Source organism: Homo sapiens, chromosome 9 (genome assembly GCF_000001405.40).
Source record: "Homo sapiens chromosome 9, GRCh38.p14 Primary Assembly".
Taxonomy (NCBI): Eukaryota; Metazoa; Chordata; class Mammalia; order Primates; family Hominidae; genus Homo; species Homo sapiens.
The window spans coordinates 67,156,053-67,180,581 of record NC_000009.12 but is presented as its reverse complement, the minus strand read 5'-3'; the positions used below and the strand labels follow the sequence as shown (position 1 = coordinate 67,180,581).

General features: G+C 38.9%; 2 pseudogenes across 1 annotated transcript in view; one reads left to right on the top strand and one right to left on the bottom strand.

Moving 5' to 3' along the window:
* Positions 1 to 24,529, bottom strand: part of CNTNAP3P2 (CNTNAP3 pseudogene 2) — a 237,697-nt pseudogene that overhangs the window by 116,575 nt on the left and 96,593 nt on the right. Inside the window, exon 4 of the transcript NR_111893.2 lies at positions 6,575 to 6,722. The product of NR_111893.2 is annotated as a CNTNAP3 pseudogene 2 (transcript). The remainder of the gene's footprint in view (positions 1 to 6,574; positions 6,723 to 24,529) is intronic.
* On the top strand, positions 4,554 to 4,807 carry RN7SL422P (RNA, 7SL, cytoplasmic 422, pseudogene; annotated as a pseudogene).

Below are 24,529 nucleotides of genomic sequence, written 5' to 3'. Positions count from 1 at the left end.
ACATCAAGGCAAAACTGCTGAAAATCAAAGACAAAGAATAAATTCTCAAAAGTAACCAGAAGAAAAATACACATTTCCCTTATAGGATAAAAATCAATTACCTATTGATTTCTTAATAAATATCATGAAAACAATAGAATGCCATCTTTAAAAGGCCGAAAGAAAATAACTACAGACCGTATTCTCCAGCAAGCTGAAACAGCCTTCAGAAGTTCACATAAAATAAAGACAATTTTCAAGCAAACAAAAGCTATATGACAATTTATTACCAGTAGAACTGGGCTAAGACAAATATTAAAAGGAGTCTTTCTAGCTGAAAGAATTTGATTCAGAAAGAGCATGAAAATGCAGAGAAAGTAAATATGTGAGTAGATTCAAGTGAATACTGATTGCAAACAAAATTATATTAAATTTTGTGATTAAAAATATATGTACACATATACACATGTATGTATGAAACTAAAATGTGTCAACATAGCACACATGGTGGGAAGAGTTTAACTAAACTAACATAAGTTGTACTTACATCCTAGTATTGTTTGGAAAGTGATAAAAGTAGTAGCTCAAGTACCTGGGGGAACAAAATTAGAACAGCAAACAATAGTGGAAAAACTGGAAAAATTAAACTTGATTAACCCAAAAGAAGAGGAGAGAAAAAGGAGTATAAAACAAGTGAACCAAATATAAAACAGAGAGTAACATGTCAGCTACAATTTCACATATGTCAGTAATTACATTTAATATAAGTGGACTAAATATAACAACTAAAACTCAATGATTTCCAGATTCGGTTTAAATAATAAAGAAAGAGTCCTTACATATGAAGACAAAAAGTTTGAAAGTAAAGAATGGAAAAAGTTATTCCATGAAAACAATAATCAGAAGAAATCCGGCATAGCTATACAGTACTATCATCAGAGAATGCAGACTTACATGCAGGAGGCATTATTAGAAATAAACAAGGATATTTCATAATTACAAAAAATCAACTTTAAGGGAGATAAAACAATTCCCAATCTATATGCATTTAATGAAACAGCTTCAAAATATGTAAAGCATGTATCTCTTTTCATTTTACTGGAATTCATAGTTCAGGCATGCTTATTAATGGTAGACACAAAGGAGGACAGTAGGTACACTGTAGAGTTGACTCTGCCTACCACTAGCCAAAGGAAGTCACTGGCTGGCTCAAAAATCAGGGGGCAGGGAAGCATACGCCACTCACAGGTACTGGCAAGGAACAGGTGCAGAATTGGTGCCAGTGATGCAAACTAGCACAGCGTGTATATATAAAAGTGATAAAACAATTAAAGGAACTTTACAGAGGTAGGTAGTTCTAACTTCATTAGAACACCAATGAAGAAATACAAACTTGGACCATCTCAGGAGTTATGAAAATTTCCCATGTCTCAAATTCTAATCAAGGACAGGTAAAATTTTGGAAGGGAGAAAATAAAATTTGCTTTTGTCCAGTCACTATTTGTTCTATTTGTTTTGTTTTACCGGAAACCTCCACTTGCCATCTGTTGTTCCTACAGAAAACAGTACAGCACTCAGTTAATCCAGATGAAGCTGCTAATATTCAACTGTATTTGATCTACAAAACTGGCAAATATATGGTTCAACCAATTATAAGTGAAGCTAGAATGATGAATAAGAAAAGGACTGATTGGTAATAGCATAGCTATGTAAGACAGTCTGAATGACATATAAAACTATTTGAAGACTAAGTTATAAGAAAATGTAACAGAAAATGCATGAATAAAGAATTACCTGTGAGTAATAAAAAATGATTTTCACTTGGGACATTATAAAAGAAATCTTCGTGAAAAGAACATTTTAGAATTCTGTTAATTATCTCGGCTGTGCTCCAAGTATTAAAATTTTAAAAAGGAATCCACCACTCCCAGACCCCCTCCCCCACCAAATTTTCCGCCACTAAGGGACCAAAAAAGTGGTGAACCAAGCTCTTCTTGGTTATTTATGAAGTCAACCTTGAATACTAACCATTTTCTTTTTTCTTCATGAATTATTGCCGTGACTTACAAAGGAATAGAAGCCCAATCTCAGTTTAACAGAAACATGAATCAGACAAAAGCCATGTTTGAGTGTTATCTAATGAAAATACTGAAACACTAGCATGGAGTGGAATGTAAGCCCTTAAAATCTGCACTAGCGGACTGGGAATTAAAGAGATGGAAAGGATACTAACCACTTGAGAAAACAACAAGAAGAGGACTGTTCTATTTTTTGCATTAATATCAAAGAAAGTGGAGTGATTTAAAGAACTCTGAAATTGAGGATAATTAAAGCTGGCATGATAAAAAGGAGGAAGGCACAGAATCAAAAACTAAATGTTTATATACAATACAATGCAGCTTGATGCTGTCTCTCTGAAAGTAGAAAAGAAGCTGCCGCCATCAATCAATATAGCAATATATCAAAACAAGTATCAATATAATGATCCTTTATGAAACCTCGGCAGTTATTATCCATCAAGAACATGGAATTGGTAGTCAGAGGACTGGAGTCCTCTCCCTGTCTCTGGTGACTATTTGTAGCTCCTGCACTGCCGGCCCTTGGTGTGGCTTCTCAGATTGCTCACTTGGAACATCTGGGTGTTAATAACTGCCTTTCTACTACATAAAGATGCATCAAATATCAGATGGAAGAATGGAAACATAACTGTAAAACCTTATATTCGCTATTTTTACTAGAGTTATTACAATTTTTAATACTACACTTTATAACAATATAATCTCCAAGATACCTGCCTTACCTGGATGGCTAGTATAAGAGAGAAATAAATATCTGAAATTTAGATTCATTATTCAGATTTTATTATCATCTGTCAGACTTTTTTTCTGAATTGCTTCATTCATTCATTCACTCAATGCAAAGCTATGGTGCACTTAGTATGTTCCTGGCTCTGTATTAGGTGCTGATGTTACAGCAATGAATGTACCTTACCCTAGTGTAGCCTGAAGGCTAATGAGGAAAAAGGAAATTAGGCCTCTAATAAGACAGATACAGATACATTATAAAAAGTGACTATAGCACATGAAGTCATACTATAGGCTTCCTGGGAACTTATAATGAGGAACCAAATGTAGAGTGAGGGCCTAGGAAGCATCATTTAAACTAAGATCCAAAAGAGGAAGAGTAAATAGCCAGTCAAGAACATAGGGAAGGAGCATTTCAAGCAGGGGAGACCACAGGCGTAAAGGCTTTGAGTCAGTAAAAAGCTGGATACAATTGACAGTGGACAGGTAGCAGGTGACGGCAGCAAGAGGTGGCACTGGAGAGTTATTCAGGGACAAGCTCCTTCAGGCCTTGCTGGGAGTCTGGATGTTGTTTTAGGAACAATGGAAAGCCACTGATGGTATTAAACAGGGACGTAATTGTATCAGTTCTGCATTTTTAAAAGGTAACTTGAGTTGCAGTGTGGAGAATATAATGTAGTCAGCTATGAACAGAGACAGAATGACCCAAACTTGGAAGGCAATTTCCATAATCTGTGGGACACCAAGTTTAGATTAAGTCGGTAGTAGAGCTAAAGAGAGCTGAAATCATGCAAGGTGTAATTTGGAAGGAAGAATACAGAATTTCGTGACTCACTGGACATGGAGGGCAAGAGAGATAGATGCGTCAAGGACTCATAGGGTTCTGGCCTAAGATTCTGGGAGTTCCCCTTTGTTCTTGAGAGATGCCCTCAAAGGCCTGGACAGGCAGTAGAGCATAGGGAATTTATTTTTCTGTCTAAGGCCTCTGGGAAACAATCCTAGTGTCTTGGGTGTGGCTTTAAGCATGTTTCAACAATCGAGTTTGAACAATCGAATGTGCATGTTTTTCCAGGAATCATCCTGATTATTGTGTGGACTAAAAACTGGAAAGATCAAGACCAGAGACAAATAGCTGATTTAGGAGGCTGGTGCTCATTTAGGCTAAACTGGAGGAAGAGAAAGAAATTCAAAACATTTAGGAGATAGAATCAGGTTTCAGTCAATAGGTGGCTGTTGGTATCATTTTATAAGATGGAAAACAAAGGAAAATGAGCAGATAGACAACTGAGTTTTAAGTGCTCACAGGGCCAGTGAAGAGAGGTTGGTACCAGAGGTTGGAACTCCTCAGAGTAGGTTGCGGATACGTCTATTTGGAAGTTATCAGCCACAGTGTGTAAATGCTACTGAAAACTCATGGAAGTGGATAAAAGACTCAGAGAGAGCTTGGGAGCAGGATAAAAGACCTACAACCAATCTGTGGATAATGTTAGCCTTTAAGGAGTGGCAAGAAGAGTAGCATGCAAAGGTGCATGGAAAACCAGGAGAATACAGCTGTCAAGAAGGGCCCGAGGCCATCTGTGCTCATGGCTTTATTCTGCAGTTGAGTAGCAACTCTGGGAGAACCTACAACCTATCCCCAGGCTAGAAGTGGAAATAGAAATAAATGCATAGAGTAAGCCAGGAGTCTGTGAAAACACACACAGTTTAAAGGAATAATGAATCTATTACTGTAAATGAAGTGTAGAAAAGCTAATAACACTAGGGCTGGGCAGTCCCAGCTACTCAGGAGGCTGAGGTAGAGGATCGATGGAGCCCAGGGGTGCACTATGATGATCAGGTGTCTGAACAAATTTTAGCATCAAATGGTGATCTCTCCGAGCGGAGGACCATCAGGTTGCTTAAGGAAGAGTGAACTAGCCCTGCTCCCAAATGAAGCAGGTCAAGACTCCCGTGCTGATCAGCAGTGGGATTGTGCCTGTAGCCACTGCACTCCAGCCTGGGCAACATAATGAGAACCTGCCTCTTAAAATAAAAAAAGATAAATTGATAAATACATAAATAAATAAATGGGAAGAGATGCTGCGTGGAAGGGATATTATAAGTCATTATAAGCAACGTTCTAGAAAACAAGCAGGGCAGTGGAAATACAAAGGAAAATACTGAAACTACCATTATTAACATAAGTCATAAAGGATTGTATTACTGTCAACAACAAAAATAAAATCACCATACTTGAACAATTATTCTTCTAAGGAAAAAAAGACAATGTAGATGTCCACTTGTTCTAATGAATTACTTTTAGCTAGTTAGCAGTGGTCACATATTATCTGTCTGCATGTTTGGGTTTTTTTACTAGTAGTCCCTTACAGCCAACAGCATGTGTTTACAGAAGTTAACGGTGCCAGCAGATTGCATGGCAGCTGCACCGCCCACCGGCCCTTCCTGGAATCAGGCACGGGGCTTTGATCTTCCTGGTACCAACCTCCAGCCCAAGGAACTGGAGTAATATCTCTTCATGAAGGAACATCAAGCTAATGGCAAATCGCCATCAAAGAGCATGTTCCACTTTGAAGTCAGTAAACCTGAAGTTGTTTCAGAGTAATGAGAGGAGAAGGTAACTTCACAGCATCAAAGAGAGATTCTAAATATCAGACATCTTAGCCATTGAAACAGAGAGCACAGTTATAGGTCCCAGAAAACACAGGGATGGAAGGAGATGAACAATAACAGGAAGAAAAAAGACCGTTGGTAAAGCAACATCATTATATTTAGCCCTGTAGAAATGTAAACACTAAAAAACAAGCAGAGTTAGGAAATGAACTGGGTTGTACAGGGGTTATGTAATAAAATGGAAATAATAGTATCTGAGACATTAAATGCTGCATGAATGACAGACGTTGTTATCATGCTTTAGAAAATTAATATTCTGCAGGGCTAAAGCTGTGAGTAGGCAGAGAATGGGAGTGACTGTGTGTAAATAGTGTGATATGAACATCCGGCCGGACCCAAATTGAAGCCACTTAAGACATTTCCATCCAGGCTGCTCTTTGACTTGTTCTCCAGTTTTATACAGGAGTATTTTTCAATTTTATTCCATTTTGACAATAATTTAAAACATTTTTATGATAATGTAAAGAAAGAATACAAGTATGTTCTAGATCATCAAGTGGCAACTGTGTCACTGAGTACCACCAAATAATCTCACGGCCGGCTTTTTGTTTGTGTTATATTCATGTCGGCCCCATCCTTTCCACTTTTATAACAAAGAATAGGTGAGAAAAGAGGCTGACTAAACACAGGTTCCCACCAAGTGAAGATCAAGTGAAGCGACAGCACGGTGTGCAAAAGAGGACGTTAGCAGAGAAAAACACAGAGAACCAAGAGATTGCGAGAAATCACACCCTGCCCCCAGTACAGCTCCTGTTTTCCCAGACAGCGTGTCATCTCAGCTTCAGAAAAACAGCATCATCTGTTGTTAGTTTGAATTGTATTCGTTTCATCAGATGCCTACCATATTGCAAGTACTTTGCTAAACTCTGGGAATCTAAAGACAGGTAAGTTTCAGTTCAGGTCCACCACTAAATTCAACTATAAAAGACAGTAACTAAAGTCCATATTGTCATGGGGAGACACTAGAGTGTTTCAATAAAAACCAGTTCTGCTTGCCCAGCTATATAAAAAGACAGAAAAAGTCAAGTTCAACATTTCATGCCGACATTGGCTTTTACAGTTTGGCTTTGACAGAATCTCATGCTGACCTTGATTTCACACAGGGAATAAAGGCCACTTACTATATGCACATCCGTACACTTCGATCCGCATCCCAATCCTGCCCCTGGGGTTCCAGGCTAAAGGGAGAAAGCGCAGGAACCTGGCTTCAAAGGGAGGCTGGAGTCTGTAGTGCACCACACTGTCTGCGTTTGTGTTTCCTGGAAAACCCTAGGAGAAAACAGAGAAAGGGATCAATGTATCTGCAGGATGCACCATCTTCATGTCGTCACCTCTCATGGCAATGAGCAATGTATGCTCGCTTTGCTAATATGCAAAAAGCTGCTGTTTTAAAGGAAACACTGCTAATGGTTAACAAGGATGTGACAACCTCTCCAGTCCCTGAATTCGTCACCATTGTCTACGTTTTTTTATTTACAAGGTAGTTTAAATTTCATCCACATCATTAAAATGACTATAAACATGGCAACCTCTATGAAGTTCACTTTTCTAAAATGCTATCCCACAGATTCCTCCCTAATCAAGTGGTAAAGATGCTCACAAAAAGCCACATCACATGGCAGGGCAATCAAGCACCACGGTAACATGCAAAGGATCTGCAGTGAGAATCCTGGAATCTGCAATTAGAGAGTTGGAAGGGACCTAGACATGATTCCAGCCCCACACCCTTAATTTATAAATGAAAAACTACAGTCTAGGAAGAAGAAAGGACACTCTGGATGTAGGACAGCTATCATAGAGTGTGGGCAGGATTACATCTGGCTTTTATTTCAATGGCATCATTGATTCCATGTTATCAGGCTGAATCCACTTCACAGTGAACACAGCTCCATGCACCTGTGGCCTGCTTCCTGGGGGTGTCAAGAGGAGCACACTGCCACTATCTGCTCCAGGGCAAAGGGGCTTTCACTCTTCACTCCATCTTGCTATCTGAACATTGGGAAGGATCAGAGTGCAAAGCAAACAAAATTGTTTTAGATATTTTTTCATTGTTTTCAGATTTTTAAGAATATGGCATGTGTGAGAACAAGGAAAGGGTTAATGCTCTTTTGCACTAGAAGTGCTATCACCTAACATGACTGGGGCACATAGTTAATATTTATGTATGGAACAGGCCAGCAGTTAGTTCAACCAAGAATGAAGAATGTCTCCTGCCTAATTATTTTGCTTTACTAAAGAATGTACCAGGCTTAGGGCCAGCGCGTTGGCTCACCCCTGTAATCCCAGTACTTTGGGAGGCCAAGTCGGACAGATCACGAGGTCAGGAGATCGAGATCATCCTGGCTAACACGGTGAAACCCTGTCTCTACTAAAAATACAAAAAAATTAGCCGGGCATGGTGGTGGGCCCCTGTAGTCCCAGCTACTCAGGAGGCTGAGGCAGAAGAATGGTGTGAACCCGGGAGGTGGAGCTTGCAGTGAGCCGAGATCGTGCCACTGCACTCCAGCCTGGGCAACAGAGGTAGACTCCGTCACAAAAAAAAAAAAAAAAAAAAAGAATGTACCAGGCTTAACAACAAAACGAAGAGAATAAAGATCAGCCTGCCTCATATCCAACCACCAATGGGTGTCCCTGGGTATAAACACATGGAAATAAAAATATAGGAAATGCCTTAGTGAATGTGGTCAATTTTAAATGCTAGTGTTGATGTCAGACTTGGTAACAGTTCGTCTATTGCTAATTCATGCCAGTTCCAAGAGAATCATTTCACCTTTTTTTTTTTTTTTTTTTTTTCTGAGACAGGTTCTCACTTTGTCTTCCAGGCTGGAATGCAGTGGTGCGATCTAGACTCACTGCAACCTCTGCCTCCCAGATTTAAGCAATTCTCCTGCCTCAGCCTGCCCAGTAGCTGGCATTCCAAGAGCATGCCACCACACCTGGCTAATTTTTGTATTTTTAGTAGAGACGGGGTTTTGCCATGTTAGCCAGGCTGGTTTCGAACCCCCAGCCTCAAGTAATTTGCCCACCTGGGCCTCCCAAAATGCTAGGATTACAGTCATTAAGCCACCATGCCCAGCCAGAGATAATCATTTCACTCTTGTTCCAACTAAAGGGTCATGTACATCAACATTTTTTGAGTTAACAATCGCTATACAAACTTCAGGTAAATATTTGCACAACCTCTGCACTCACAACCTTCTGTCTGGACAGCCCAGGCTGACCTATATAAAATAAGCCATATCCCAGCTCCACCACCTCAAACCCTGCTACTCTCTGCTGCAAGCTGCGGTTTCTTCATCTGTAAAACTGATCTTGAAGGGCCAGAGTACTAATTGAGATAACACCTGGAAATCAATCAGCCCACCACCTGCGTGGAGGTGGCTGCTGTGACTGTGACCCAGGTTGGTCATTGTTGGCATGGTTGGTAGAGATGGTTGATCCATCCTTTTATTTTGGTTCTAATTTGGGTTTAATATCTAAGACATACAGCCAAGCTAATACAGGAACATCAGATCCTATGAGCATTTTGACTCCAATGTTAAAATTCAGTTGCAGAATTAAAATCATATTTTTCTGTAGCTGAATAAACTTTGTAAACCTCAGTAAAAACAATACAATAAAAACCTTTCAAAGGAACCCTACCAAAACAGAATTTTTTCACCTTTATCTGCCAAATGTTACTTCTTTCTCAATTTGTTTCAAAGTGTAAACTCTGGAAAATATACTTCTGAGTGATGTGATAATAGGATCATGTAGCAAAATAAAATTTAATGTCAATTTTTGCGTAATTAAATAGATTAACATTTAAGAAACTTTAAATAGACATTACCTAATAGTTTGTGAATAAGGCAGATGAGAAACATACTCTTTGCAACTTCAGAGATATCAATAAAAAATCAAACATTTATTACATATGACTAAAATATATTTAAAAGTTTATATATATAATCACATTAATTCATTTGAAATTTCAGAAATCACATTATTGTCTTATATAGAATTATAACCAGCTTCATGGGATACCAACCAAATGAACCATTGTTCTTTAAAGATATAGAAATTAAAGAGAATACATTTTGGGCAGGAAAGATTTATACTAGCATTTCACTGTCATAACATTCAGGGCTTATTATTGAAATAACCTTATCTATAACAGTAAAATAATGTGTGTCTTAAAAATATGCAGTGTAGTCTCTTATTCATTATATTCAAAGTTTGCTTCGAGAGCTTGCAGAGCAGACATGAGTTCATACGTGAGCACATGACCACTATGGACAAAAGAATGGCGAACACAAATACCTATTCCTGCTTTGTTTTATTAAGGTGGAAAAATGAACCTTCTAGAAGGATAAGCCAGCTTTTATAGAAATATGCAGCCTTCAACAATTCTGCAGAGGATTACGTCTTCATTTTAGACATAAACAGCAAAGGTTACAGCTCTGTGGAGAGTGAGAGTATACAGAATAGTTTTTGGAAGCCATAGTCCTTCAAATTCTTTTCTGTCTTAGCAGGCATGTGACCTTGGGAGAAATCATCATCTTTCTTTGTAAAGTAGAAAAATTATATCTATCTGGCAATCTTGGTAAGAATTAAACTAGTTAATATATATAATGTATTTTTAAGATTATAAATCATTTATTTTTTACAGCATTCCTCTGCAATTTGTGTGTGTGTGTGGTGTGTTCATGTATAAAAGCTCCATCTTATTGAAAGACAGTCACTTAAGTTTGATGTGGATTCCCTGTCTTTGAGGGCATTCTAGCTAAGTATTATATTAAGTAATCAAAAATGAGTATTTTCAGATAAAATGATCAGTTTTCATAACATGTTCCTTAGGTATACATGAAAGTGACTGAAATCTGTGGCTTGGAGTCCACTCACATGCTGGAAATATGTTTCATAAATAACTTAGGAATTAATGACATTACTGAAAAATTTCCAACACTCTACTTTGATTTTTAGCGGTCACATTAGTTAAATCTAACAGTCACAGTCAGTGATGGTGCTCATGTGATATCCTGGTCTGCAAAATGTTAAGCACATGGATAGTTGTGGTTGAGTATGAAATACCCAGATTGACAGCCATAAGCAGAAAAAAATCTGTCAAGGTAAGACTCATCAACAACTATTTTTAAGAAGACTGTTAGAAATTTGTTATTTTTCCAAATTTGTCATTTTGTCGTTTCTGTTTTAGTGGGTTTTTATCATCAAATCTTTATTTTAAATTACGAGATACTGAAATGAGTCTCTGAATTTTAAAATAAGCATTAAATCTCTACTATGCATAGGGCCACCACTGTCCTATGCAATTTCACACATCAATTCAGTTAGTCCTCACAAAGATGTTAGAAAAGCCTGTCTAAAAGAAATAGATTCTTCAGCAGCTTCAGCTTATTATTAGTTTCCCAAACACTCAAATGTACTACGAGAGATTCTTATTTTAATATGCTGTTATTATTTTAAGCTGTCTGTGTGTGGGGTAAGAAAGTGCCCGTGAGTCCCTGAGTTCTAATTCTGTTTCCTTAATTGCCAGACTATGCTGATATTGGATACAAATTTTAGTGCTTGTAATCTCAGCTTCTTTATGAGTAACATGGGGATAATACTAACTGCTCTGCCCAATTATAGCTTGTTGGAAGATGTTTCTGTAGGTGACTTGAAAATTCTAAGGAACTATACAAATGAAAGATATTGTTAAGCTGCTCCCTGTAATGCCTGTTAACAAGATTATTTGATTAAGACACTTTGTTAATTATAAGTGTTATATGAAGAAACTGTATTATTTCTAAGTATATAGCATTAATAATATAATTACCATGACATATACCTTGATGATTTTATGAAGTAATTAAAATGTTTCTATTGATTATTAAAAATTAGCATATTATCTTTATCACCTTAGTATGACTAGTACAATTATATTTATGCAGAGTTAATCAGTAAAAAGCAAAATGAAAGATATAAAACAATATTATATGTAAGTGTAAATATGTGTGAACAAAAGAATTATGATTTTTAAAAGAATATGTACAAATAAAATGTATTGGACTGGGGAAATATGAATCATGTATAAAAAAATATGATTAATGAATGAATGAACACCAAGGCAAGAGTAGGGCCTTATGCAGGCCAGACCGATCATTCCTTCATGATTCCTCACTGAGGAAGGTGACTCATGGAAACCTTCGCATCTGATGTCTAAACACAATAAATCAACAAAAAAGGGCTCCAGCATGTGGACCCAGTGCCTGCTGAAGAGCTGTTAACCCTCTGCTGCTGCCCCCTCAGCCTCCTCTGTTCTCAGGATGCCCATGGGTGAAGAAGGGACTCCTGGCAAGTGGGACCTGGGGCTGCCACAGAGCCCTCCCAAGGACACAGACAGGACTGTGAGGCCACGGCTCCAGCAGGATGCTGACTCCTGCAACTGTCAAAGACTTCAGCTCAGTTTTGGAGTTTCCTGTAAGTGATACATCATATGATGAACACAGGCTGCGAAGCTGGAGAGACCTGGGTCTGAGGCCAAGTCCCAACATATACTGGTTCTGTGACTATGGGCAAGATACTCAACCATGCAGAGCCTTCCCCTCTGAACACTGGGGAGAATGATGATCCGGACTCACAAGACTCTCACGTATCTCTAAACTCTTAGCATAGGACTAGCATATGGTAAATAATCAATTAGTAGGAAACACTACTTATTATCATCTGTTAATACTAAGTGATATTTCCTCTTACTCATTCTCACAATGCCACTCTTTGAAAGCAAGGATGAATCTATGGACCTTTTCCTTTGATTCTCAGCCGGAATCAACTTAGTCACTTAGGTCTGCATCCCCTCACTAGCAGATGACATTAGGCAAGGATGATACTGCTTTTGTCCCTGTTATTTTCAGAAGATTACAGATAATGATGTAACATGCAAAACTGTTTCTTATTTAAATTAGTATCGATAACTGCCTATGTGAACAGCTGTACTTAATTATTTTAAAGTGCTCATGAATGCATTATTAATATTTTACTAACCATTAGAATACAATGTTTATCAACACAAAATGAGAAAAGTGTGACTTTGCCTTATTCTAGCATTATTAAATGAACTGAAGTAGGAATTAAGAAATGTGGGTGATGGTTCCAGCTTTTTCATTAATTAGCTGTGAGAGCCATGGTATGTCACCTGAGGCTTCAGTTTAGCTGGAAAGCACGCTACAAAGTACTACAGGGCCAGGCACGGTGGCTCACGCCTGTAATCTCAGCACTTTGGGAGGCTGAGGCAGGTGGATCACCTGAGGTCAGGAATTTGAGACCAGCCTGACCAATATGGTGAAACCTCATCTCTACTTCAAAAAAAAAAAAAAAAAAAAATTACCCTAGCATGGTGGCGTGCCCCTGTAGTCCCAGCTACTCAGGAGGCTGAGGCAGGAGAATCACATGAACCTCGGAGGTGGAGGTTGCAGTGAGCCAAGATTGCACCACTGCACTCCAGCCTTGGTGACAGAGTGAGACTCTATCTCAAAAAAAAAAAAAAAAGTACTATGGAATCTAAAGTTTTCTCTAGCACTAAAAGAGCATGGCCTGAAATAGTTAGTTTATATTTGGGTCAAGAAAGAAAGAAATGTTAGAAAATAAATGAATAATCAATGACAGCAAGAGTACCTTATTGAAAAAAATGTATGTGTATATGCACTTATGCATATCTTTAATTAATTAAATATACATAATCATTGAAAAATGAAACACTGCAAATACATTTGTATGTTTGATACTTGAGCATCCTATCATTTTTTTAAATAAAAATTAATTAATTTACCATATTTGAATAAGTCAAAAAGAGAAAAACAAAGTGTAGTGCATGTTTAAAAAAGACAAATAAATGTTTCCTTGTGTTTGCTCACTACTGATAACTTTGAGGAAATGATCATTCAGAAACATAAAGCAATCCAAAATACGAATCAAGATTAACTTAAATGTAATTTTTAAAATAATTCAGATAATGAAGAGAGCAGAACTAGCCACTTAGCTCTCTGTGTATAGTGCATATAACTAAATATATCACAACTTAACAGGTGTTCTTTCTGAGATATTGCTATTGACTTTAAATGATCCCATTAGTTAAATGTTAAAATACCTTTTTAGAAAGCAGGCAATTCATCTAACTTGTCATTTGACTTGGATCTGGGACAAATTTCCTGTGTGAGATCGATCAGCATGTCTTCTTGCTCTCAGATTTCCTTATTATAATTATAAATCTTTGTGCTTTATAAAAGTTCAGGGTATTATGCTGGTGCCATCTCTGGTTTCTCAGAGACTTTCAACAACAAGCCTCGTTCTGGGACATGATAGGCATTGTTGCAAAGTCAGGAATTCTTCAAGGAGAATAAATGTCTGCTGTGTTGAATTTTATGCTAGGTTCCCCAAGATCTGCACCTTTAACCCTCCCAGTATTTACCAGTGTTTAACACACAGTTGGTCCCAGGCAAATGCTGGTGCATTGACTTGATTGTTAGAGATAACCTTCCTAATGCTATATTCTATCCAGTCTCTCTAAACCCAGCTCCTTGTTCTGCTGTGAGGAGCAGCACCTGTCTTCCTTTGCCTGGATGACTCAGAGATGCCCACTCCATCTTCATCTCTGGACTCACCACAAGTAATTACTTAGTACTTCCCACCAACTGCAGAGCAATTTACTTAATTGGAATGTTTTCACACTTTTTCATCCCTGATAATCAACCTGCACAGATGAAAAAATTACCTAGGGAATCACTATTATTAAGTCAGTGATCTAAGTGCTTTTGTTATTCTAACTGAAAATTGTAATCATTTGTTTGTTTGACATATTTACTATCTGACCATCAGACAGATTCACTTATTTTGTCCATTTTAACTATGACCAAATATATATTTTTTCACATAAGAATCTGTGAGCATTAAACTGGGTAATCTGTATGACCTTATCCCTGAATATTAGATATTAGATATGCACATACAAATGGTTATGATTGTTATGATTAGTGTGCTATCATGGAAAATAGTTCATAGTCTTGATAGTCTGAGAATTGCTATGATAATAGTTTCAAAAACATTTAGGATACTTGTTCTCTATTTTTAATTTTAGTTTTTAGCAACAAAAATCATTTGAAAAGCAAATAAAATTATTTCACCATATTTTTACACTTGTAATCATGTATAATATGTTCTAAGAAAAAGCCATCTCTACCTATAAAATAAGATGCAATTGTATATTCCTGTGTGTCTCTCACACGGATCCATCAATGAACAATATTGCCAGCATTGGGAATAAGAATACTGAATGAATCAGGCCTAGGTTGAGTATTTTCTGTGACTATGAGGCAGTCACATCCTCCTATTTGGTTAGGATCTACAAACAGAGTAACCAGACTCAAAAGGTGCCACCTGCCTAGAATAATATTAGTATGAGATAATAAGACTTGCTCGTGGCTTATCCGGCAGTGTGCTAGAAATTTTCTGTCTATGAATTTGTAAAACAGCAGCAACAACATGAGGCACATGGAAGTTCAATGTCCTAGGGTCAAAGCTGAGCTCTGAAACCGCCTTTGCACAAATTCTAACAGTGACAAAATTATGGCAATGGGGAGACCTGATCTAGTTAACCCCCTTCTTGCCCTTGACCTTCAAGTTGCCCTTAATCATTCCTGGGCTTAGGCAAGCCAACCGTGAGAGACATCTAGTTTATAGTTTAAATGATAATAGCCCTTCCCCAAAACTAAAGCTAATGAGAGACCACCAGGCTAGGAGAATAGAGGAGCCTAAATTCTGCTAAAATACAGACATAAATGATTGCTAGCCATTTGTCCAGAGGTCACGAGATATGCAACTTCCTCATGAATTCCAGCAGATAACATCAGTATTGTAGAATCTAAGATTAGCCTTTTGAGATATCCAGGTTTTTTGCATGTTTGACTACCGATGGCTCCACTGGACCTGCCAACAGCTCCCGTAGCTCCACCCATAAGTAACTCAGCATGCAGAAGAATCATTTCCCACACCCCTATGATTACACCCCCAACCAATCAGCGGCAAGCACCCATTGCCTAGCCACTCCCCGCCCTTTCCCTAAACTACCTTTGAAAAATCCCTAACCTATGAGCCTTCGATGAGACTGACTTGAACAATAACTTCATCTCTAATGTGGTGTTGCCAACCTTGAGTTAATTTAAACTCTTTACAGCAAATACCATGTTTTTTGTTTTGTTTTGTTTTTTTGCAGCGAGCAGGAAGAACCCATCGGGCAGTGACACAATCAGAAGAGCTACTGTGGCTTGTAGAAAGCCTGGCATATCCAGAACAACAGAATCCAACAAGACAGGAAAGTAACCAATAGGTCTATAGTCAGGGCCTAGGTTCTGAGTAAGCACACCACTAGCAACTCCTTTATTCTCCAGATGGAAAAAGTAGAATAGTTTACCAGAGTTATGAATACACGTGGGGAGACAATAGGTCCTTAAAGGGTTTGAAAGGCTTTTCAGCTTCTTCTGACTGTGATAGTAGTTAGTCAGACATGAGCAGAACAGGAGAGGACCCCCCGACCCCAGGAATGTCAGGCAACCATCAGGTGATGGTCAGGCAGTTGTTACACTGTCTCTCTAAAATAATTGGTTGTAGCCAGTGCCAGGGAAAGGCAGTCTCGCAATAGATAGAAACACCTGTAACTGGTGATCAGAAGCTTCCCAATATGATCTCAGGAGCTGGGTGAGTGGCCTCAAGCATGCGCACTAAGAGGCAAAATGGTGGAGTTTAACTGGTACATGACCTTCTTCTAGGAACATGCATACAACTCCAGTGAACACATTATGCCTATGACCCCTCCCAAGTGCTGACAGGCCACTGTGCATATGGAATGCCAATGTATAAAACCCCAAGTTAAAGGTCAAACCGTGCACTTGAATCTCTCAGGCTGCCGGCTTGCCCCTCTTCCAAATGTACTTCACTTTCTTTGGTTCCTGCTCTGAAACTTTTTAATAAACATTCACTCCTGCTCCGAGTCTCTGCCTCAGTCTCTTCCTCCACCTTAAGCTCCTCGGTTGAATTCCTTCTTCTGAGGTAGCAAGAACTGAGGTTGTTGCAGACCTGTACAGATCTTCCACTGCTAACATGACCCCAGTAAAGGTGCTGGTGACGTTTGATGCAACAGCTCAGTGACAGGCTTCGCCTTTTCTGAACAGGCAGGGATCTCCTGACTGCAATTCCCAACCAATCCCCAAAACTGGCAAACTTGATTTTTTTTAATTAAGCAAGCTTAATTTGTAAAATAGGCTGACTCTAGGAAGGGACTATTTTTTATTGGCCAGTCACAAATGTCCCAAATGCTTGAGTTCAGTTTGACACTATTGCTATTTATCTAGGGATGTTTTATATGCTTAGGAAGCTAAAAATTTGTAGAAAGTTACATTTTCTTCTTATCACATGTAAGGTGTCAGCAGCTATCAATGATTCATCTGCATATTGAATCAGCATGAAACTCTAAGGTGAGGAAAATGACTTTAAGTTCTCTTGAACAGTAAATGTCTAGAGAATATAGTAGGTGAATCTCTAAATCCTGAGGAATCCGTTGCCACAAATATTGAAAGCTGCCATAGGTAAATGTAAGGATGAACCTTGATTTCTCATGTAAAGGTACAGAAAAAAACCTGAACAAAAGTCTACTGCAGAAGAATACTTAGTTGGCATAGGTATTGTAATTAAAATAGTAGCCAGGTCAGCTAGCACAAGCACAGGTACCAGAAGAATCACAAACATACTTATTTCTATAAGATCTTGTACAAATCTATAAACAGGTCCACCTTCCCTGTCATATTTTCCTTCCTTTTTCACAGGTAATGTAGAAGCATTACAAACTGAATGCCCTTTATTACAGCTCATTTTCCTAATTAAAAAATGTATAGATTATATCTTATAATTGAGCTATTCCATGTTGTAAGCTATAATTATAGCATTGATACATTTTACTAAAATATTTGTTCCTGGGATCCAGAAAAATGGATCTACTTCTTGTCAATTGATCTATTCCAGTGCAAGGTGAGATTGCCACTCACCACTGCCCCCATTGGTTTCAGAAGGCACATCTTTACCTTATCATCAGGTGCCTTGCCTCCCAGGGCTCCAAAATCATTTCACCCAGAATACAGAATGGGTGGGAGGCATTAGTTTACACAGCGAGTCCCTTTCCAACAAATAGCTAGGTGCATCAGGAGACTAGATAAAAGCATGTTTCTTTTACAAAAGATCTATTTGCAGAATAATTTCAGAGCAGCAAGAACAGACAGAAGGTTGTCCGGAGATATCCAAAACATTAAAACAAAAAAAAGGTCAGAAGAAATTACAGAATACATGGCTCCAGGGTTCACAAAAAAAAAAAAGAAAAAAAAACATGAAAAGATTAAGATGAGGAAAAGAAACAGACATATAAAGCTCTCTGCTTCCCAACTCAAAGGTTTCCTCATTATGTCAGTTTTGCACACTAGTTTGCACCGTTTGCCAATTATTTCTCATCCAGTTTCTCAGGAGAAAAATCTCCTAGAGAAGCTAATAAAGCTTCAGACTCAGGTTGAATCCTTTGCGTCTTAATTTCTTCAGCATCCCCTTTCTGAATATCCTGGTTTCTTACAACAGTGATATATCAACTTTCCATTAGAGCATTCCTTTTTATTTGTTGTTGGCTCACAATAAAATCTGTCCCATCTGTGAATAATTCTAACTGGGCAGCTAACACTGCAGTCTTAAGTTCTTCCCCACATTTTCCCAAAATGGATTGCTGGCACCAACTGTCCGCCCTTGCCATCAAACTATTTTTTCTCCTGACAATTGCTGGCAGGGAAATTCCTGGCAAAAAGCCTGCTTAAAAGGTAGAGGACCAAGGATATATTCTGATCTTCCCTTGGATTGGGCCCCAAAAATTTATAAACTGCTTCAGTGCACTGCTGATGAAAAGCAACAGGGACACACCTGCCTCTTGAGTGCGTTATTGTAGCACTGCTAGAGGTCACCATATGCAGAGAGGCTCCAAGGACTGCCATCAGCCATCCCTCACACTGAGTTATGGAAAGAGGTGGACGGCTGGTTTCCTGAGGCCATGGCACTCCCTGATGAGGGGGTTATAATTTGGCCTCTATCACACCTGTTCCACTAGTTGAGCAAGTCAGCCAGAGGCAACACATCACACAGCAGCCAGTTTATATCCTCACGTGTGTAGTTATATGTTGAAAAAATGCTGCAGAGCACTTCTGCAAATTTGTGTGAATCTTCCCAGAGCAATAGAAAAAAATCTCTTAAGAGAAGTATATCAACTTGGGGGAAGGCAATATGGATTCTGGCATTTGTGTCACTGCAGTTGCAAAGGGATAGGGCTGATTTTCATCATGAAATGAAAAATAAGTTGGTTTGTATGGCACTGTAGTTTCAGTCCCTGTTATGCCATAGTAATTTGACTCCCTCCATTTCTTCTAAGTTCTTAAGGCAATCAACCATTCAGCAACCCAAAACCTTTATTCTAGGATACAATCTCTTACCCAAATTCTCACTGACTCTTTGATCTTTCTTCTGAGTAATTTATAGATGTTTAGTTGTGTTTTGCATATTCAGTTTAGAGGGAATCACAGAGATGGGATCAGAACTAGGGCATCCAATATCAGGATATTCTAATAAAGCTAAACAATTTGCTCCTTCTAAAGGGAATTCATCCCAGGTTTCCAATTCATCCAAGAGACCATTACCTCCCTCCTCTGAGATCCCAGATTGAGCAAAGAAGGGTGAAGAGAAGCTGAGGAAACAAAAGGAATGACAGCAGAGAAGAAATGAGAAGCTGGAGGAAGAAAAAGAGCTTTCAGATTCTTACTCTATTCTTCCAATTTCTTAATTCACTCTTTTTGGTTTTTGTTTTATTACTGACTACTTCATCTCAGGAATATAAATTATCCGTTTATTTGGGATTTTTTTTCCTTAAAATCTCCGTGCATACACTAATTTGTCTACCTCAAAAGAGTCTTTCTCGGCCGGGCACGGTGGCTCATGCCTGCAATCCCAGCACTTTGGGAGGCAGAGGCGGGCAGATCACGATCGAGACCATCCTGGCTAACACGGTGAAACCCTGTCTCTACTAAAAGTACATAAAAATTAGCAGGGCATGGTGGCAGGCGCCTGCAGTCCCAGCTACTCAGGAGGCCGAGGCAGGAGAATGACATGAAGCCGGGAGGCGGAGCTTGCAGCGAGCCCAGATGGCTCCACGGCACGGCACTCCAGCCCGGGCGACAGAGTGAGCCTCCGTCTCAGGGAAAAAAAAAAAAAAAGCCTTTCTCTGGCCATTGCAAAGCAGAATTTTCAGAAGTTTACCCATTCTAAACATAATAGAGTGAAATAACCCTTCTAAGAGAAAGACCTGCCAGCAACATTCTGGACTTCCCATATTTTTCTGCCGTTAAAACCTATCCTGAATCATATAGGACCTGTGAGCCTGCATTACACATTTTGCTCAATAATAACTCCAAATTTGTAGTAAGGGTTTGAAATTTTCCCCAGGAACCCAATCCTGCTGAGCCAAAGTAGATAATGGGAGACTTTTAAGCAAACAGTCGGGGTCTCTTACCTAATCCAAGAGGCCACATTTTATGTTAAGTGTGTTTTATCACAATAAAATGACTTTTTAAGAAGGTGGACACAAATCTTCCCACAAATTAACCAATAGAAGCACTCACTCAAGAAATCCCATCCTCATCACCAAATTGTTGGGGGGAAAATCAATACCCAAAGAAACATGCCAATTCACAAATACAGAATTAGTTGATTTTATTATTGGGCAAAACAAATAACCTGAATGTATGTGGACAGGCAGCAAGTGGCTACAAAGCTGTAATGAATATTCAGCTCCATTTATATGAAATTAATGTTGCAGTTGTTACACATCATCCTATCTTTAGAAAATAGTCAGCAGATGTTCAATTTGCACCAGTAATTACAGTGAGCTTACTCTGATGTTCTGTTTTACATACTTCTGTATCAGGCTTGCTCTGGTGTTAAGTTCCTCAGAATTCTTTATCAGGATCTATGGTTGTCCCAATAGGGCATTAGTACCTATGATTGGTCACGTCTTTCAATATTCCTCAGCAAGGCTACATTGAACGCAAGTTCAGTTTCCCCACTGCATGAATCCTCCAGGTTCAGCTGGGTGTGCTTTTTATGTGAGCGCTCACCTTCCCACAGCGATTATGCGAAAACCAAGCCTCTTAACATCATACCTCTGTAAGTGATGTGATTATTTAAAATGAAGTGACTGTTAATTAAAATCATATTCATACAGAGCTTCTATTTGCTGAAAATTTAAAGTTTGGTGGGGGTTTTTGACTTTAAATGTCTCTCATTCGTTCTGAATGTAATAATGTGCTTAATTTTATGTCTTTCTTGGAATTTATTTAATCAATTAGTACCGTGTGTCTGAGTATGTAAAGAGTATGCTAATGACATTTTAGAGGAAATCAAATAGACTAAGAAATTAAAGGGATGCTTCAATACTGTGAATATTGATGACAAAGAAGAAAGATAAGTAATCAGAGAGAAAAAAAGGGAAAACGCCTTGGACTAAAAAATAGAAACACCAGAGGCAAATAAGCCATATTTAACAAGGTTAGGTAATATGCGAGTTCTACAGAGCTTATTTTAAATATTGTTCTTATATTCAGTCATTTCACCTGGCACAAATATGCCTTCTGTACTAAAGGAAGATGGTTTCCTTCATATTTACACTTTTGCATTATAATCAATGTGTCACCTTTTTTTCAATAAATATGGTTGGCCTTCTGTATCAGAAGTCTCTACAAGGCTGACTGTGGGACTTAAGTATGAGCAGATTCTGGTACCCGAGGGGGTCCTGGAACCAATCCCTTGCAGGGAGATGACTGTAAATGTTTTTGAGATTGAGAATATTAATATGTGCTTAAAATGTGAACGAGGACATGTGTTAACATCTTCATTGACCATTACATTTTGGTTGAATAGCATATGCCATGTCTCATCTAACTAATTTGAAATAAGTTCAGATCACAAGAAAAAAGGAAAATTGGTTAAAAGAACAAGACCTGTCTTGAGCAAATACTCCATTTCCCCAGTAATATTACTGCAGTTACAATCTATCTCGAATCACTTTAAATTGGCCCAAATGCCAATTGCTGAAAATTTAATCATTTCCCAATCAGGAATGATGCATTTATCAACCAAATCTCAAATCAGTTATAATTCTCCCCAAACCTAGTTTTGAGAACTTCAGTTTGGGTTTTTCCTAAGAGGATGACTGTCCATTTCAATGTTGAGAAACAATCCAGAAAGAGTGAATGATAACCATCCCCATTCAAAATTTTCTCATCAAATTAGAATTTTTAAATATATTTTAGACTATGTTAATAAGGGAAATATGTTGATTATCACAGAAGTTTGGCATTTTTATATAAAATAATGCTTAGCATTTATAAGAAATATCAATTTTGCATTCAGAAAAAAAATTGATTTAAATAGAATCCAGCCATATACATCTGAAATTTGTTGAAATCAAATGGCTAACCTCCACCAAATTGTGTTTTCAAGCTTTTTTAGAAGGTTTCATAAATAAATTAAAATTTTTTTGGCATTTAAATGAGTCGGCAATATTGCTAAACCAAAATGACGAGAGCTATGTAATTAACAATAAATTCAAGATGAATGCTTACTATGCATGAAAAGTTAAATGTTGAGCTGGAGAGAAAAGAAAAATAAATATTTATCTGAAAAGCAAACTGAAGTAAGCATGAGGCATTCTGTCCTTGTTTCTGCCCTGTCAGGTGTAGGGCACATCCTCAGGAATCCAGAAAGCTGAGACCCCAGGGTGACTAATTTTCTGCAGGAGGTCAATTCCCTGAAAGATGCTCAGCTGACTCCCAAAGGGATAGAAATAAAATGTACCTGACGGAGTAATTAAACAAAAAAGTTCCCATTTTTAATATGTCAGTTTGTGTTTTATTATATTGCGATAAATGTGTTGCTTTTTCATTTGTTTCCATCAGTGCACAATTACAAGTCCACATTTTGAGGACCTTCTGTTTATTTCCTTTTATTGTTTGTTTTTAGCAGAGAATAACAAAGAAAAAACAAAATATGGTTCACAGTCTTACCAGTCAGATAACCCTTGTTGACATACAAAATAAATGTATTAATAAACCAACAAAGTATGATCACATATACATTCTTTTTTTTTTTTTTTCAGATGGAGTCTTGCTCTGTCGCCCAGGCTGGAGTGCAGTGGTGCAGTCTCGGCTCACCACAACCTCTGCCTCCTGGGTTCAGGAGATTCTCCTGCCTCAGCCTCCTGAGTAGCTAGGACTACAGGCACATGTCACTATGCCCAGCTAATTGTTGTATTTTTGGTAGAGACACAGTTTCACCATGTTGGCCAGGCTGGTCTTGAACTCCTGACCTCGTGATCTGCCCACCTTGGCCTCCCAAAGTGCTGGGATTACAGGTGTGAGCCACCGCGCCAGGCACATAAACATTCTTGGTTAGAAAATTGAAATAAGGCCGGGTGCAGTGGCTCACGCCTGTAATCCCAGCACTTTGGGAGGCTGAGGCGGGTGGATCACGAGGTCAGGAGATCAAGACCATCCTGGCTAACACAGTGAAACCCCGTCTCTACTAAAAAAATACAAAAAATCAGCCGGGTGTGGTGGTGGGCGCCTGTAGTCCCAGCTTCTGGGGAGGCTGAGACAGGAGAATGGCATGAACCCGGGAGGCGGAGCTTGCAGTGAGCTAAGATTGCGCCACTGCACTCCAGCCTGGGCGACAGAGCGAGACTCTGTCTCAAAAAAAAAAAAGAAAAAGAAAAAAAAAGAAGACTGAAATAAAAGTTAAGCTAAAAAATGATAGCCACTCTTTCACTGAACCCCAAAAGTAACCACTCTTGAAGAAAAGATGAAAATTGTGATCATCTTTTCTTAGTCCGTATTTTCTTTTAGAATAGTGCTCATCTTTAGCCACGCTGTGTTGCTCTCTCACCCATTTCCCCAAGGGTGTTGTGTGGTCGCTGTCTCCCATGACACTCAGGCACACCAGCGATGCCGAGGATGGGGGCAGCTTTGTACAGACCTTCCCCTTTGGCTCTGGGTCTGTGTGTGCTCCTGGCACTTCCTCCCTCCTTACCTGGGTTCCTACTCTGGAATCTGAAGCTTGCAGACTGGTTCTCTCTAACTTAAGGGTGAGGGGCAGGGGCATTTAATTAAATGGCTTGTGCCAGGTTCCTTCCATCTGGTCTGCCCTTATCCCATCCAGTGTTGGTGCCCTCAGGCTGCAAAGATCCTCACCAGCCCAGTGCGACCCCTGAGAAAGCTGGCCTGGGCCCCTCACTGGACACCACCCTTCCCCCACCTGCAGCTGTCTCTCCTGCCCGGAGAAGGGAGTGAGAAAGAGATACAGAGAGAGAGAGAGAGAGAGAGAGAGAGAGATGTGTGCGAGAGAGAGAGGAGAGAGAGAGAGAGAGAGAGATGTGTGCTATGATTTAGGGTCTGTATTAGGACTGACCAAGGGGACCACATAGGGTTCTCAGCCTCTTTCAAGGCCCAAGGATCTCTCAGAAGACACTTCTTCACTCTACCTTCAATCTTTCATTTGCAAAATTACTTGGTTTTGCTAGACATCTCTAGCAAAACGAAGTAATTCTCTCCAGGTTTGAGTCTCTTTATCTCTAGGTTTGAATCTTCTGATTGATTTTTCTCTCATCTTCTCCCCTTTCAGTACAGAATCACCAAAATATCCTTTTCATGATTTTTTTTAAACCAACTCTTCCTGATTGGTTCAGGATGTGCTTCTACTATATGAAAACTTTTAAATCACCTCTATAAACTGCCTCCACCTTCTTTTCTTGCACTTACCTACATTCGGAGACTGTTTAATATCATCTCCTGCACCCCGTACTTTGCATTCTTTTCTCTACGAGAGTGTCCGTGGACACTGGATTAGCAGCAGTTCTGAATTAAAGCCACTGCGTCTCGACTCAGCTTCAATCCACATTAATTCTGGATCTCCCACTG